We start from the raw sequence: 14847 nt of genomic DNA on the forward strand, positions 1-14847 counted from the left end.
TCTAGCTCTAACGGAACCATGGTATAAGTCAGCATTGAGTTTTTAAATTAAATACTTAATTGAATAGCCAGGATCGCTCATACAACTAATATTAATCTTCAATTAACTAATATGAATCCCAAGAAGGTGACTGTGCTGGTCCTTGGACTATTTGCTATTGAAGCCAATCTTCCCCTCCCTGTTATGCTATGTACACAGGGTGTCCTCATCATCAAGATTTGTGCGTCCCAGGTTCTGATGTCACTAGAACTTGGTTGCTACAGCCAATGAGAAGCACTGGGAGGAGTCTGAGGGTGGGAGGAAGGGAGAATTAAGGGCATTTCTCTCTCTCTGCTTGCATCAGCAGCTACACCTCCTCTGAATCTCTTGATTACCCCAGACAGCCCCACTGTGGTTTCAGTTTCCGATGGGTGACCTGAACCTTGAGCTCTCGTAACCCCACAGCCTCCCTTTGTCCTTGCAGTCTCGGGGTAGCAGCGGTGGCTTGCTCTTGATCTCTGAGTTGCCTCACTGGCCTTGCTGAGTTTTCAGTTCTTCTAGCACTTGGGTAATTAATTTCTTGGTTTAAATTTCCTCTGGTTTTAATATTCAGTGATTATTATGTTTCTGATTATTTTTTACTCTAGTAGATTGTCTTAGTCTGCTTGGGCTGCCAAAGCAAAATACCACAGACTGAAGGCTTAAACACCAGAAATTTATTTTCACAGTTCTGGTGGCTGGAATCCCAGGATCAGGGTGCCCGCATGGTTGGGTTCTGGAAAGGGGTCGCTTCCTAACTTACAGATGTCCCCCCTCTAGCTATGTCCTCACAAGGTGAAGAAAGTGAGAATGAGCAAGCTCTCTAGTGTCTCTTCTTATGAGGGCACTAATCCTATCATAAGTGCCCCACCCTCAAGACTTCCTCTAACCCCAATTACCTCCCACGATGCCATCTTCAAATATCATTACACTGAAGGTCACAGCTTCACTATATGAACTCGGGAGGGATACAAACATTCAGTCCATAACACAGCTATTATTATTTTTCAACTAATGCTGCTTTGCAGAATTGGAAACTGAGGCTAGGAGAGGTAAAGTATCTTTCCCAAAGTCTTAGCTAGTAAATTACAAAATTGTTATTCAAATCCAAGTCTAGTTGCCTTTAATGGCATACTATTAACTATTGTACCTGATTGCTTCACAGTGTGTCTGCAAAAGAATCCAGTAACATGCTAACACAATACAGTCAAATTCCTATGACTTGTACTAGCTTGTGGGAAATGGCCTACGCTAATTAAATCACAATGTGATTGATGGGATATTTTAAAATATAGAGCTAACATCTGTATCTCTTTTCAGTTCACAAAGAGCTTGCCTACTCATTACCTCATCTCCTCATTTGATCTTTATAATATGCTTGTCAGGATGGAAGGACAAATCTAGACGGAAACTGAAGGTCAGAGCAAGCAAGTTAATTGGTCCATGTCACATAGCCAGTGAGTGACAGAGGAAAGGAACACTTAAACCCAGATCTGTGGCTCTTGATCCTGGCGCTCCCCCATCACACCAGGTATAGGAGTGCAATGTTCTTTAGGGATCTACCAGAATAGCAAAGGCCTGATTGAGTGGGAGCTGCTTCTACTATTATATTAGACTTCCTCAGTATCATTAAATTCATTTACTGGTTTTTCAGATAAGAGATCTGAGGGCTTGCCAGTGTACCACGTTGCCTCTTTGAAGTTACCTACTTGAAGGGAAGTTCTGTTCACCAGAGAAGGGGCTTTCTAAGTACAGTGGGTCAGAAGGGTTTGCAATGAGAACATCCAAAGCATTTGCCTGATGGCAGCTGGCTCCCCTGATATTTTAATGATCCCATATGTGTAAAAATAGATACCGTTAAGCACTTGAAAGCATTTTGTTCTCTTAAAATAGGTTAAAAACATTCCTCTTTTTTGTTTGCACTCTTAATTTGCTTAACAAAACCTCTTGGCATTTATGGTCTAGAGTAGAAAGTGAGCTTAAAAATCATGTTAAAGATAATAGGGGAAACTGAGGGACTATAAAGTTTTAATGTCTTATCCTATTTCACACAATTCATTGAGATAGATTATTTGGTTAACAAATCAGTTTTCTCTCTGTACATTTCACTGTATTTTGGGAGTTTGGGGAGAGAGTTGAATTAATTAAAAGAGGGAATCCCATCCTCAAAAGTGTACCATCTAGTATAGAAGTTTAGACATGTACACTTACCAATTCTTGTATATCAAAATAAATAAGGAAAATATAATGAAGACATAATATGGGCAGTAATGATAATTCAAGGTCTGTCCTTGGAAATGGTTACTAATCTTGACAGTTTTAAAAGAGTGAGATTTTGAAGTATTAAAAAGAAAAAACTATCAAAAATGAATTAAGGCTGTGCTAAGGAAGCTCTAGTTGAGGCTACATCTGGCCTTTGGCATTATCCATCTGGCTTGCAGCAAGTTTCCTAAATTAAGTACCCAGAGACCTCATCCCTTAATAACAGATATGGCGCTTCCCAGGCCTGAGAAGGATTCTTCTTGCTGAATGTCCTGTTTTCACTGTTTAACTCAGAGTCATTCTCTTAAAGCCACAGCAGATAGCTCTGGAGGGGGTTGGAATCCAGCCTTCCTGGTCAGGAAGCAGAGAGGCCCCAGTGTCATAGGATTCTTGGAGTGTCGCTTCACCAGCTAGAAATTTTGTGGCCAGTGGCGCCCTTGTCCAAGTTTTGCTCAGGAACACAGGGCTCGTTCTGCCCACTCGGCCTGGCTGGCTGTGTTTGGCTCGCGCTACCGGCCTGGACCCCATGCCTGCCAAGGGGGAGCCAGGGGCAGAGCAGCAAGGGGTGTGTGAGCAAGTGTAGGATCCAGCCACTGTGCACAGCCAGGCATGCTGGCGATGGCAGGGAAGGCAGCTTCAGGTGCCGGCACAGGCACTGGCTCCCTGCGAGGCTGCAGCTGGACCAGGCGTACTGTAAGCAATTTCCACAGCTGACACCAGGGAATGCAATAACACCTGGAAGGTTGGAGACGCCAGGAACTTCAAAGCCCCAGAGAGGATGTTTCACTGCCCTGGCTTAGTCAGGGAGCTCCTAGCTCTGGGGTCCCTGAAGGGCAACAGCTCTTCTCTCCTTCTCTTTGCTCTCCTTCTTGGCACCTGCAACATGGGGAGCCAGGGGTGTGTTTCAGCCCTGTTTGTGCTACAGCTCTTTTAGCTCTGCTATTTGGTGGGTCCCAAGTTCCTGTCCTGATTCCAGGAAGAATGAAGTTCACAGACAAGTGGAGGGTGAGGAAGGTGAAGCGGAGCTTTATTGAGCAACAGAGCAGCTCAGAGGAGACCCACATTGGGTAGTTCCTCTCCACGGGCAGGTGTCCTGATGAGTGTTCAGCTCTCAGCAGAGAGGAGACCTTGGAGTGGGTAGCTTCTCTCCACAGCTGGTTGTCCCATCATCTCCTCAAGTTTGGCTGAGTCCAGGGCTTCTATGGGTCTCAGAGGAGAGGAAGTGTGTGCTGATTGGTCCATGGGGGGCCATGGGCTGGCCCAGAAAAAGGACCACAAGTTCCCACTCTGGTCTTTGGGAGTCCCCAAGCTCTGTGGAACACACAGCGAGGCCACACGTCCCCCACTGTAGTACCCACGCTTCAGGTCCTCCCCACCTTGAAAGTGGGGCTTCACCAGGGACCTGTCCCCTTTCCACCCAGGATCCTGTTTGCCTGCTGCCACCATTCATGGCACCCAGGCTGTTCATGCTGAGGGGTGCCTGCAGGCCAGCACCAAGCTGCCCTCAGCTCCCACCTCGGCCTCCCTCTGATGCTCATCGGCACCCAAAGCCCGGAGGGGACCAAGGCAGCAGAGGGCAGGCACACACCCAGCTGGGCTGTGACAGGGCCTGTGCTTGGCCCCAACCTTGCTCTGGTATTGGAGTGGGTACCAGAAGCAGGGAGCAGACACCTCGGAGCCTGCAGGGGCAGTGAGGGGAAACCTTCCGAACTTCCCAAGCCCCCAAGAGTGCAGAGATGCCAGGTCCACAGCCATGGCTTGGCTGGCTGCAGCTGTGCCTAAGAAGGTAGGGCTCCTGCCTGCTTCCAGCCCCCAACAGCTCCATGGAGCGCACAGCCCGGGTCACATCTTCCCCACTGCAGCCAGTGTCATGGCAGCAGCTGCTTTAATGGGCCACTGCTGCCATCAATAGTACATAGGATGTGCTTTGGGGGAATGAAGACTTGGGCCTGAGTTGGCTAAGTGGGCCAGTACTTTACTTGCTTGGGTCAAGTAGATGGGACCCTAAGGCAGCCTTGGGGACAGAGGACAGGTGCAGGGGGTACAAATCAGGCTGGATGAGTACTTTCAAGTTCAGTTCAGGGGAAGCACTCATTCTAAGCTTCTTGTGGAATGGGGGTAACATCAAAAATAAGGGGCTTGGGGAAACCTTGAACAGTACCAGGGATGTTGTAGGATGGGAACCCTACTATGTAAAAAATTCTGTCTTGGGCTTCTCTCTGCTGGGAAATACCTCTTCCTTTTTCCTTCCAACAGAAGCTGACCCCCTCTCTGAAATATCACTGGTTCCTTTCTTCCCTTTGATCTAAATGATTCTTCTCCCTCCCATCGCCTGTCCCTTACTAGCCCCCTCAAAACACAAATACATACAAATGTAAACATATGTATATGTGCTTCTTCTTACCAAATGACTCTTGGTTTTAAGTTTGGTTTTGGAGAGTGATGCTAGCCTATGAACCTGTGTGGAAAAGCTACAGTACCAAGAAATGATCCACTTCATGGATGGATGGAGATATATCCATATCCATATCCATATTCATATCCATATCCATGTCCCTTTGTCTTAGAAGGTTGCAGTGGATAAACTCTAAGGTATCCCATGATCTTTGATGTCTGATATTCATACCTTTGTATAATCCCCTCCCCTTGAGTGTTGCCTATGACTTGCCTCAATGAGTGGAATGTGGCAAAGGTAAAGAGATGCACATGACTATGTGCACGGGATTATGTAACCCCATAGCACCCATCTTGCTAGGGCCTCTCTCTCTGTCTCAGTTGCTGACTTTGAAGAAGTAAGCTGCCATGAAACCTATAGCTGCAAGGAAATAAACTCTGCCAACAATCCAAGGAAGGTGGGAAATAGATCCTTTCCTATTTGAGCCTCTGATGAAAACCCAGCCCTGGGTGACACCTTTATGGTCACATTCCTGGCCCAGCTAAGGACCCAGCTAAGCTGTGCTCACATTCCTGGCCCACAAAAACTGTGAGATAATAAATGTGCATTGTTGTAGGCTGCTAAATTTGTTGCAAATTATTACACAGCAATAGGAAACGAACACAGATTTCAGTAGCTGGGAGTAGGAAGCACTAATACAGAGACTCGTGGAAAGAAGGAGAAACAAAAATGGAGATGTGATAAAGAGAAATAACAGATAGCTTTACACTTGCACACTGACAATCTTTTATGTCTTTTGTCAATATTTCAGTAGCAAACTAGCACCACTCCCTCAACCCTAAAGGGTTATAAGAGCTTTATTGACATCGATCCCTCCATTCATTCAATGAACATTTATTATATGTCCATCAGTGTAGGGGTTTCTGCCACAATGGGATTTATACTCTTGGTGGGTGCTTCCACATATACGCAAATAATTACAGATAAAGCAGTGTCAGCTTTAGTGTCCTGAGAACACTACCATCAGCCCTCCGTATCTGTGGGTTCCGCATTTGTGGATTCAGCCACTCACAGGTCGAAAATATTTTTTAAAAAGGCATCTGTACTAAATATAGACTTTTTTCCCATCATTATTTCCCAAACAATACCGTAAAACAACTATTTACATAGCATTTACATTGTATTAGGTATTATATGTAATCTAGAGATGATTTAAAGTATATGGGAAGATGTGTGTAGGTTGTATGCAAATTCTACACCATGTTATACCAGGGACTTGGGCATCCATAAATTTTGGAATCTGTGAGAGGTCCTGGAACCAATTGTCCTTGGATGCCGAGGGATGATTGTGTTTAGAATATATACGTACAACACATCAATCCCTTCTGGCCATTTACTCATGGAAGTTACAGTCTGTTGGAGGACATTGACAATAAGTTGCAATCATTAAAAACAATTGTATAATCCCATTTATGATAAGGGATATAAAAGTAAATACAGGATTATCTGAGAGCAGTTAGTTGGGGGGGACCTTACCTAAGTAGGGGAGTCAGGGATGATTACCTAGAGCAAATAATACAGAAGGTGAGTCTTGAAGGATAAGAAGGAGCTTGCCAGGAGAGGAGGTGGGAGTGGGAGAATAGGCTCTGTGGTAAGACTCTGCCAGAGGAAATCGCATCCTCAAGACGATGAGGTAAGAAAGAACTTGGTGTTTTCTAAAAAATAAACGAGGCCAATGTGGTAGGAGCAGCAAGGGATAGTGGGGAAGAAAGGACTTGGCAGTGGAGGACCTCAGAAATCACCTGTGACTCTATTTTTTTTCCGAAAACTTTTAAATGTGCAGATAAAGGACAATTTTCTGTCTCCATTAGAAGGATTTAAAATGGGGAAAGGCCATGGAAGGCCAGGAAATATAAGGACCATGGATCCTTGGCAGGGCATGAGAAAGATACAGAGGGAGGTAAAATGAGTTCATTACTGTGAGAATTAGGTCAGAAGACAGACTCTTTAGGTAGGTGGCAAAATAGGTAGGTAGTTTAGATTGGGAGAAATGGGAAATTACAAAACCCAGGTTCCTGGAAGAGCCTGAAAGGGAAGGAGAAGAGGTTTATAGTTCACCTGATACAGAAAAAGATACCACCAGCTTCTTGGGCATCCAGCAAGAAGCAGTAAAGGGAAACTTTGACCAAGACATCTTGGTAGGATTTTTAAAAAAAATGAATAATAGAGTAGAATCTGTTACCAATTCATGTACCTGGAGTTGCACACCAAAGTGTGGTCTAGCAAAAAGACTCTCCAAGCTTGAAGGCTGTAGGCCTGAGTGTCCTGGCTCCCTTCCTAACCAGCAGTTTGCCTTTGGGCCAGTCATTTAAACTGTCTGGCCCTGGTTGCCTCCCTGGGTATGGGAGTAGATGATCTCAAAGATTCCAACATGGAGGATTATTACATCTTCATAGATTGTCACTGCTGGTGACAGTCAATCCCATGAAGACTGGCCTGAGAGTAAATAATGGGGTTCAAGATCCTTAGGAAGAAAAATCTGAGGCTGTAGTCAAGGGAAAAATTCCGCCTGGGAGGGTATTGGGAAGGGAGGGAGCTGGAGTTCCAAGGCTCTGGGGCTCTGCAGTGTGCTCCTATGACCAGTGCAGCTTGCATGATTGAAGATATTGTAGCGTCAACTGCCTCAAAGACTCATAATCTGCTGTTGTTTTTTTTTTTCCTTTTATCTGCCCAATTTGCCCAAGTCCTCAGATTGCATTATTGTTCTTATCATTAATTCCTTCTTTACAGTGCAGCAGTTTTAATTAGATTCATTTCCTGTTTTTCCCTCTCAGGGAGCAGTACATGATGTCTGATGGCTCCTGAGTGCCTGGAGAGGGTGTGATAAAGAAACTCAGTGCAAGTGGATAGTTCAAGGAGAGAGGAGGGTAGGCAGGTCAGGATAGGGGTGAGGATGGGAGAGGAAAGAAGAGAGCCCAGCAGGCAAATCTTGCTCTAGCTGTTGATTCCTCATCAGCACCCAGTGACCCAGCCATGAATAATGCTGTTGGCTTGGAGAGACCACCCCCTAGTTGAGTCTGGAGTATTTCCCTAGCCTTGCGTCAGCCTTGTTATTTATCTGACTCTTCATTTCCTGGACGGTTTCGGCTGGGAAGAACCTCTTTAAGCATTGATATGCCAGTCTAATTACAATTAATAAGGTCAGAAGCTGAAAAATTTATTTGATATTCCCACCTTGTGGACGGATTCAGACCTGAAGAATCAAAAGCTTGTCTGACCTCAGTTTTGAGGCCTCTGACCTTGCAGATGCCAACCACTCTGGGATGCTCTGTGGGAAAGTGGATTGTTGCATTTTTTAGGATTCAATTTTATTTTTTGTCATTAAAAACATTTTTTAGGGAAAGGCCTTCCAAAGTTCCAGGCCAAGGAGCAAGACACAGTACAGCATTCAACTATGTTCAAATGTGCCTCTCATTAGCTGTTTGATCTTGGCCAAGTTATGTAACCCATCCAATCTCAGCTTCCTCTCTGGTAAAATAGAGCTAATAATACCTACCACATGGAAGTGCAATGGAAAATAGATAAGATAATGTATATTCTGATGCCAAATAGCTAAGTATTATCAGCAGTTTAGATCCAGGAGAGCCAAAATCAACATGGTGAGAGTCTGTGTAGTGAGGAAGGAAAAGAGAAAAATAGGAAGGAAAAGAGAAAAACCTCAGTTATGAAGGTCCATAACTTAGTGGGTCTAGAATATATGCTTTAGAGTCAGATCTAGGACCAACTTTCAATTCTGTCATTTATTAGATGTGTGATATTGGGAATTATTTTAATTTCTGAGCCTCAAGTTTCTCATCTGCAAAATGGGAATAAAAATCACATCTGCCTTATCAGGCTGTCTTGAGCACTAAATGAGATAATGCTTTGTGGCTGAGACTTGCTAGATACCCAACAACCTTTTCCCTTTTCTTCATGAGTCACCAATAGACTACATTTCCCAACTTCCTTGCATCTAAGTGAGGCTTTGTGACTAAGCTCTGATGAATGGAATGTGGATAGAAGAGATATAGGCTACATTATCGAAGGCTTATCCCCAAAACCTTCCTTATAATCCTCTATACCCTCTCTTTCCTCATCTACTGGTAGATTCAGAGGATCCAGAAGAGAACTCTAGGGTTCAGAGAAGGCAGAGCCACTGTATGGAAGGAGCCTGGGTCCTTGAATGACTGGAGCATAGCACTCCCCGCTCTGCCCCTCTCAATCTGTATTGGATTATGGTTTAACTACTGATATTTTAGAATTGCTTGTTAAAACAATTAATCTGTCCTGACGTATTTATTCTCATAAAACACATGGTAATTCTTCAATAAATGTTAGTGATTATGATTATGATTATTTGCTCCTTGGCTGGAATGGCTGAGTGAGCAGTTCCATAATTTAATAAACTTAATACTACAAGTGTGTTTTTGTTTTCTCTCCTGGCTGGAAGATTAACTGCTAATCTTTGGATTCCCTAAAAATGATATTAATAATGTCTTCATTTATTTGTCTAATTCATAAATATTCACTGTATGCCTACTCTTTATACAATTTTATTAGTTGCTGGGTAATGCAGGGATAATATCTTCATGAAATCTTTAATTTCACAAAGAGGGACTGGTATACAACTAGCTCTATTATGATGTAGAATAAAATGTGTGCTTTAACTCTCACCTAATCATCATAAACTGTGGCCTGTAACACTTCACTTCTTAAGAAATCTATAATACTCTTTCAAAGTTCAACCCAGGGTAGGATCTATGGGAAAGTTTTGCCACTTTCCTGGCAACCTAACCTCAACCTTCCATGGTCAGGAAAAGAGAAGGAGGGTTAAGTGGGAGCTGTTGTTTCATTGGAAACCACGTATGTGTTTACATGGTGCTGCTTTGTGGCCTCTAGAAGCCTTCCCAGCCCCTCCCTTCCTTTCTCTCTTCCTCCCTACGATTGTGCGATTGTGTGGCATCGCCGGCATCTCCTGGAGTTTGCTCATCTGTCCTGCTCTCCCAGGGCAGGGTGAGCGAAGGCTTAGCTGTGACAATCTAGTGCCCATTTTGTTCAACTTTGCCATCTCCTCTTCCCGGAACTCAGCTGTTTTATTTGTAAAATAGGCCAAATTAGATTGGAACTCAGGTCATTGGATATGTAGCATTCCCTTCTATCCATTACAAACAGCACTAATGAATCAACGCATTCCTTTTGCTGAGCCTGAACCCACGCAAGCCTTCACAAACTCAATACCCACTTCCAAGCAGCTCCACCAAGCTATCAGACTTGGATCCAGAGTCAGATGATCTCCAGGCATCTTTGGTAATGACAATAATACTCTCTGACCCCCTTAAAATGTTTTTTAAGGCACTTTTAGGTAGATAATCTCATAAGCACTCTGAGAGTGGGGTGGCATCTGTTATTTTTGTCCCCTAACCTCACTGTGCTCAGCTCTCAAGTCTCAAGGAAAGCTCAGCAAATATTTGAGAACTGAAAAAGACCCTGCTCCTCCTGACCCCTCCTTCTGATCTTTGCTTCTATTCCCTCACCAGTATGTCTTTTCACAGTCACAGGTACTAGTCTCATTCTCACTGCCTGTTTGACCTGGAATTACGTGAGCTCATAGGTTCATCTAGTCCATCCCTCTGCTCCCAAATAGGCTATTTCACATTCCAGCACTGACAAGTGCTGAGCCTGTTGAAGAAGGACAGCTGTCAGGCCCAAGAGCCCTTTCTTGGAATGCCTGCTGGTAAAACCAAGATCATTGGGCCTGTTTGTGGATGACTAGTTGGCTTAAAGGATTCCAAATCTTGCCTGTGGATTTTTCTTTCTGAACATATCATTAGATCTGAGGGTGTGCCAAACCAGCTCGGAGGCAAGGCTTTGTCACTGCGCCTTTTCATTCATTATTATTTCTCAGGCAGATCTATTTCTCATTGACTGGGGCCTCTTGGGCCCCTCCCTTGCCTTGTCATGCTCAGAACAGCCTGTTTGGCCGCCCTCCAGGGACCGCACTGGCCCAGAGGTGCTGTCGCCTGCCTCTCCTGACTGGTGGGGACAGGCCTGAGCTAAGGCTGCCTTTGTTCTTTCACAGTGGGTTATTTTCCCTTGGGCTTGGATGGCTCAGCAAAAGTTACTGGACGCTCGGCAGGGTGGGAGCCCTGAGCTGCACAGTTTATATTGGAAACTGTGGACATTGTTCTGGATCATCTGCATGGTGCCAGCATTTTTCCTTTTTGTCTGACAGGGTGAATAGTATGGCATGGGAATGGGGTGGGGATAGGGTCAGGCACGAGTCCATGCAGTCTGCCTTGCATTGCGCAGAGTTCTTTCCCAGCAGTGCCAATGCCGGCTCTGGCAAAGGAGGGGAGTGACCCAGGGAGGGCGTTGGTGAGACCGCTGTTTAGACTCAATCTTTAAAACCATAGACACCTTCAGGCACAGGCAGGACAAAAGGAAAAGAGAGAGGATGACAGGGAAACAAAGATGGTAATAGATTTAGGGGCATAGGAGAGAAGGTAGAAAATGAGAAAGTGTTTCTTCAATGAATCCCTTCTAGATATTACTCTAGTCATCTCATTTGAGGTCCTACAGCATCTATTATATATACCAAATCTTTCACTCCCTACTGTATACAAGTGTGTGACTTAAATTCCGCTCTAGGCTTGCTTTCCCCTCAGAGATTCTCCTACTCTTTGGCCTGAATTCTACTTCACAGTGAGTGTCCATCAAAAGCTCTTTGCTATACTGTCTCCCAGCCTCACTTCCTAAGCATTCTCAGAGCTTCCACTCCTGAGACTACGTGGCCTCCCTTATCGCATGTCATCTACCTCAAAGCTGCCAATTTACTTGGGGGTAAATCAAATCCACTTGAGCCACAAATCTCATCAATGCAGTGAGTTCACTAAAGAGTTGGGAGTAAAGGCATTATCCCAACACAATTTATGGCTGCAGTCTTGCAACTAGCTCTTCTCTTTTGACTTTGCTACCTTTCTCCTAAGTCTATGCCTCCACCTTGCATTTCCCTTGGTGTGAAGCTATCTTTTAGCTCTCTCTTTTCCCTTCTGACACTATTTGACAGTGAATATTTCCTGTGCTAACCTCTGGAAAATAAATACATGTCCTTCCATTTGGATAGCACTTTAGAGTTTACAAGATGTTTTCATAAACCTCATTGTAGAAAAATCTTCACAACGATCTCATGAAACTCAGATTATAATCCAGCTGATTTCTGCACTTTAAATCTAGGTTGTTTTCCCCCATGTTTAATGACCATCTACCTCTCAGGAAGAACCAGGAACTCTTGCAGAGTTAGGACAGGGAATGGGGAGCTGGGTCTCTGAGGGTGGGGTAGAGGGTGAGAAGGTCTCAGCGGGTAGAGGCCTTGGTGGTGAACAATGCAAATCTTACAGAAAACTTTTTACTTCAAGCCACCCACATTTTTTTTTCTTTCTCAGGCCCCAATATTTGCCTGGTTTATTTCATTTTCTCTTTTGTAAACCACAGCTTCTAACCATGGTTACTCTTGATTTACTCATTCATTCCTTCATTCATTCCCTTGCTCTTTACCCAACATTTCCTGGTGTCTACAACATTCCAAGCAGTGGTGCTTCTCTTTCCTGTGGAGAAGCACAGGCTGCTGCACAGCAGTGGGGCTGAGGTTCCTGTCCTGGGAGCTGGAAACAGCCCCGTGGAGAATTCTAGCAAAAGGACGTGAAAGGGCCCCTCCTCTGCAGCAGATCAACTTCCCTGTTTTTCATGGACATCCTCTGGCAAAGATTAAGACCATATGTTTTTCTATTAATATACATAAGATTGAGGAAAGACGTATCTTCATTCCAGAGAAGCACCCAGAGCCCTCCGTCTTCCAAGAATTCCTCAGCCGGAAGCTCAATGTGGTGGTCATGCAGCTACTCCTCTTTCATGTGCCTTCCACACATGGCTTCCACAATACCACACCTCTTGCCTTTCCCTCAATCTCATTGGTTGTTGCTGCTCAGAGGCTTTGAAGCTTTTTCCTCTTCACATTGGAGGGCTCCAGGACTCAGTCCTTTGTCTTCTTTTCTTCCCGAACTACCCTCTCTCCCTCGGTGATTTCATTTGCTCTCATGCCTTTAAACACCATCCACATGCCAACAACTCCCACATTTATTTCTCCATCCCAAATCCAGGCTAGCATGTCTAACTGCGTAACCGACATTGCCACTTTGATGTTTAATAGATATATGAAGTTCTGTATGTCCAAAAGAAGCTCTGAGTTTTTCCTCACAAGCCTACTTTGCCCATCACTTTCTCCATTTCAGTTGATGGCCACTCTACTTTACTAGCTGCACAGGCCAAAAGCCCTAGAGCCATCCTTGACACCTCTCTTTCTCTAATTAACACATAAGTCATTGGCTCAACTGTAACCTAATCCAAAATATGCTACTTCTTATCAACTCCACCACTAGCATCACTTCCCAGGTCACCATTCTCCCTCCCAGTTTGTCACAACACTTCCTAACCTGTGTCCCTGCCTCTGTCCCTACCCCCTATAGTCTATGCTCAACACAATTGCCAGAGGAATCACTTTACATGTAAAGCGAATCATATGACAACCCACTTTTCCTCCAAATTTTAATGGCATCCTTTAATACTTGGGATAAAAGTCAAAGTCTTTACAATGGTGAGTAAATTGATTGCATAAACAGCTGCAATTATCCACCCCTTCCTGTATCTGCCTCCCTTGCAAAGCCACTGTATAGCCCCTCCCAGCAAAAGGTGGAGTCTATTCCTCACCCCTTGAATCTGGGCAGGCCCTGTGATTTTCTTTGACCTGCAGAATGCAGCATAAATGACAATGTGCCACCTCTGGGCATCTTGGAACCCTGCCGTCCCCATGTAAACAAGCCTGGGCCAGCCTTCAGGATGATGAGAGACATGTGGTCTAGTCACATGTCCTAGCTGGCAGCCAGTCAACAGTCAGATATGGGAATGAGACCACCCCGGACTAGCCAGCTTTGAGCCAAGCCAACACCTGATCCTCAATGTGCAAGACCAGCTGAGGTAAGCTGAGCCTTGTCAAGATCATCAGAGTTCAGCTGAACCATAGATAGTCTTATGAGCAGTAGAAGATGCTTATTGATTTAAGCCGCTTGATTTTTTTTTAAATACAGAATTATTGTGGCAAGAAATAATGGATATAAATGGCCTATAAGGCCTTATGTGATCCACAACTCCCCTTACAACTCTGACTTTATCTGCTACATTCCGGAAGGCTTGGTCACCACGCTGGAGCCACAGCGGCCTCTTGCTCTTCCTGGACTACACCAAGCACGCTCCAGCCTCTGGGCCATTGCATTTGATGTTTCCTCTGCCTGGAATACTTTGCTCCACATACCCCCATGGCTTCTGGCCTTACTTCCTTGGAGACCTGCTTAAATGACATGCCAGCAAGAGTGATATTTGTAGTATCTTTTAAACATTTTGGCATGAGAACTGACCAATCACAACAGCCAAGGGTACAGGGCAGGATCAGGGACCTGGCTGTCCCCTCCTGAGCCAGGAATTTATCTTTTCATGGCTGAGCTGGGGGAAGTATTCCAAAACAGGAGCCAGGACAGCCAACGTGGTGGACAGGGCAGCAGTAGAGTGGCTTCAGGCCATGCTTGTCTAACAATCGGTAAGGATATATTTTAATATTTCAACAGTAAGTGTGGTGATCAGCTCTGATGATCAGGGTGGTGTCTCCACCACTCTGGCCTCATCCCCCTTATCCCAGAGTACTCTCTAGGTCCCTTATTCTACTTAATATTTCTCTAAAGCACTTTTTATTGCCATCCAACATATAATATATTTTTCTATTTATTTTCTCATTACTTTTCTATACTTCTCCTCTTTCTAGAAGACTGCTATCCAAAGAAAGTGTCTGTAATGATGGAAATATTCTATTTCTGAGCTGCCCAATAGGGTAGCCATGGCCACATGTGACTACTGAGCACCTAGGATGTGGCTCTGAGAAAACTGTGCTTTTAATTTTATTTGATTTTAATTACTTGAAATTTAAATAGCTACATTAGCTAGTAGCTTCCATACTGGACAGCACAACTCTAGATTGTTAAGTCTCATACAGTAAGAACTTTAAAAAATTTTTATTCACTACTATATCC

At 44.4% G+C, this 14847-nt stretch overlaps 2 annotated features.

Annotated features, from left to right (window-relative positions):
• Positions 226 to 275: a silencer, noted in NCBI's record as "silent region_3850". NCBI's record gives its function as "represses an Ori minimal core promoter by ATAC-STARR-seq in GM12878 lymphoblastoid cells {active_cell/tissue: GM12878}" and the evidence as "EXISTENCE:reporter gene assay evidence [ECO:0000049][PMID:35858748]".
• Positions 4001 to 4531: an enhancer, noted in NCBI's record as "H3K27ac-H3K4me1 hESC enhancer chr11:95180437-95180967 (GRCh37/hg19 assembly coordinates)". NCBI's record gives its function as "activates a minimal SCP1, AML or CMV promoter by ChIP-STARR-seq in naive H9 embryonic stem cells {active_cell/tissue: H9 hESC(naive)}" and the evidence as "EXISTENCE:reporter gene assay evidence [ECO:0000049][PMID:30033119]".

The sequence above is a fragment of the Homo sapiens genome, chromosome 11 (assembly GCF_000001405.40).
Source record: "Homo sapiens chromosome 11, GRCh38.p14 Primary Assembly".
Taxonomy (NCBI): domain Eukaryota; kingdom Metazoa; phylum Chordata; class Mammalia; order Primates; family Hominidae; genus Homo; species Homo sapiens.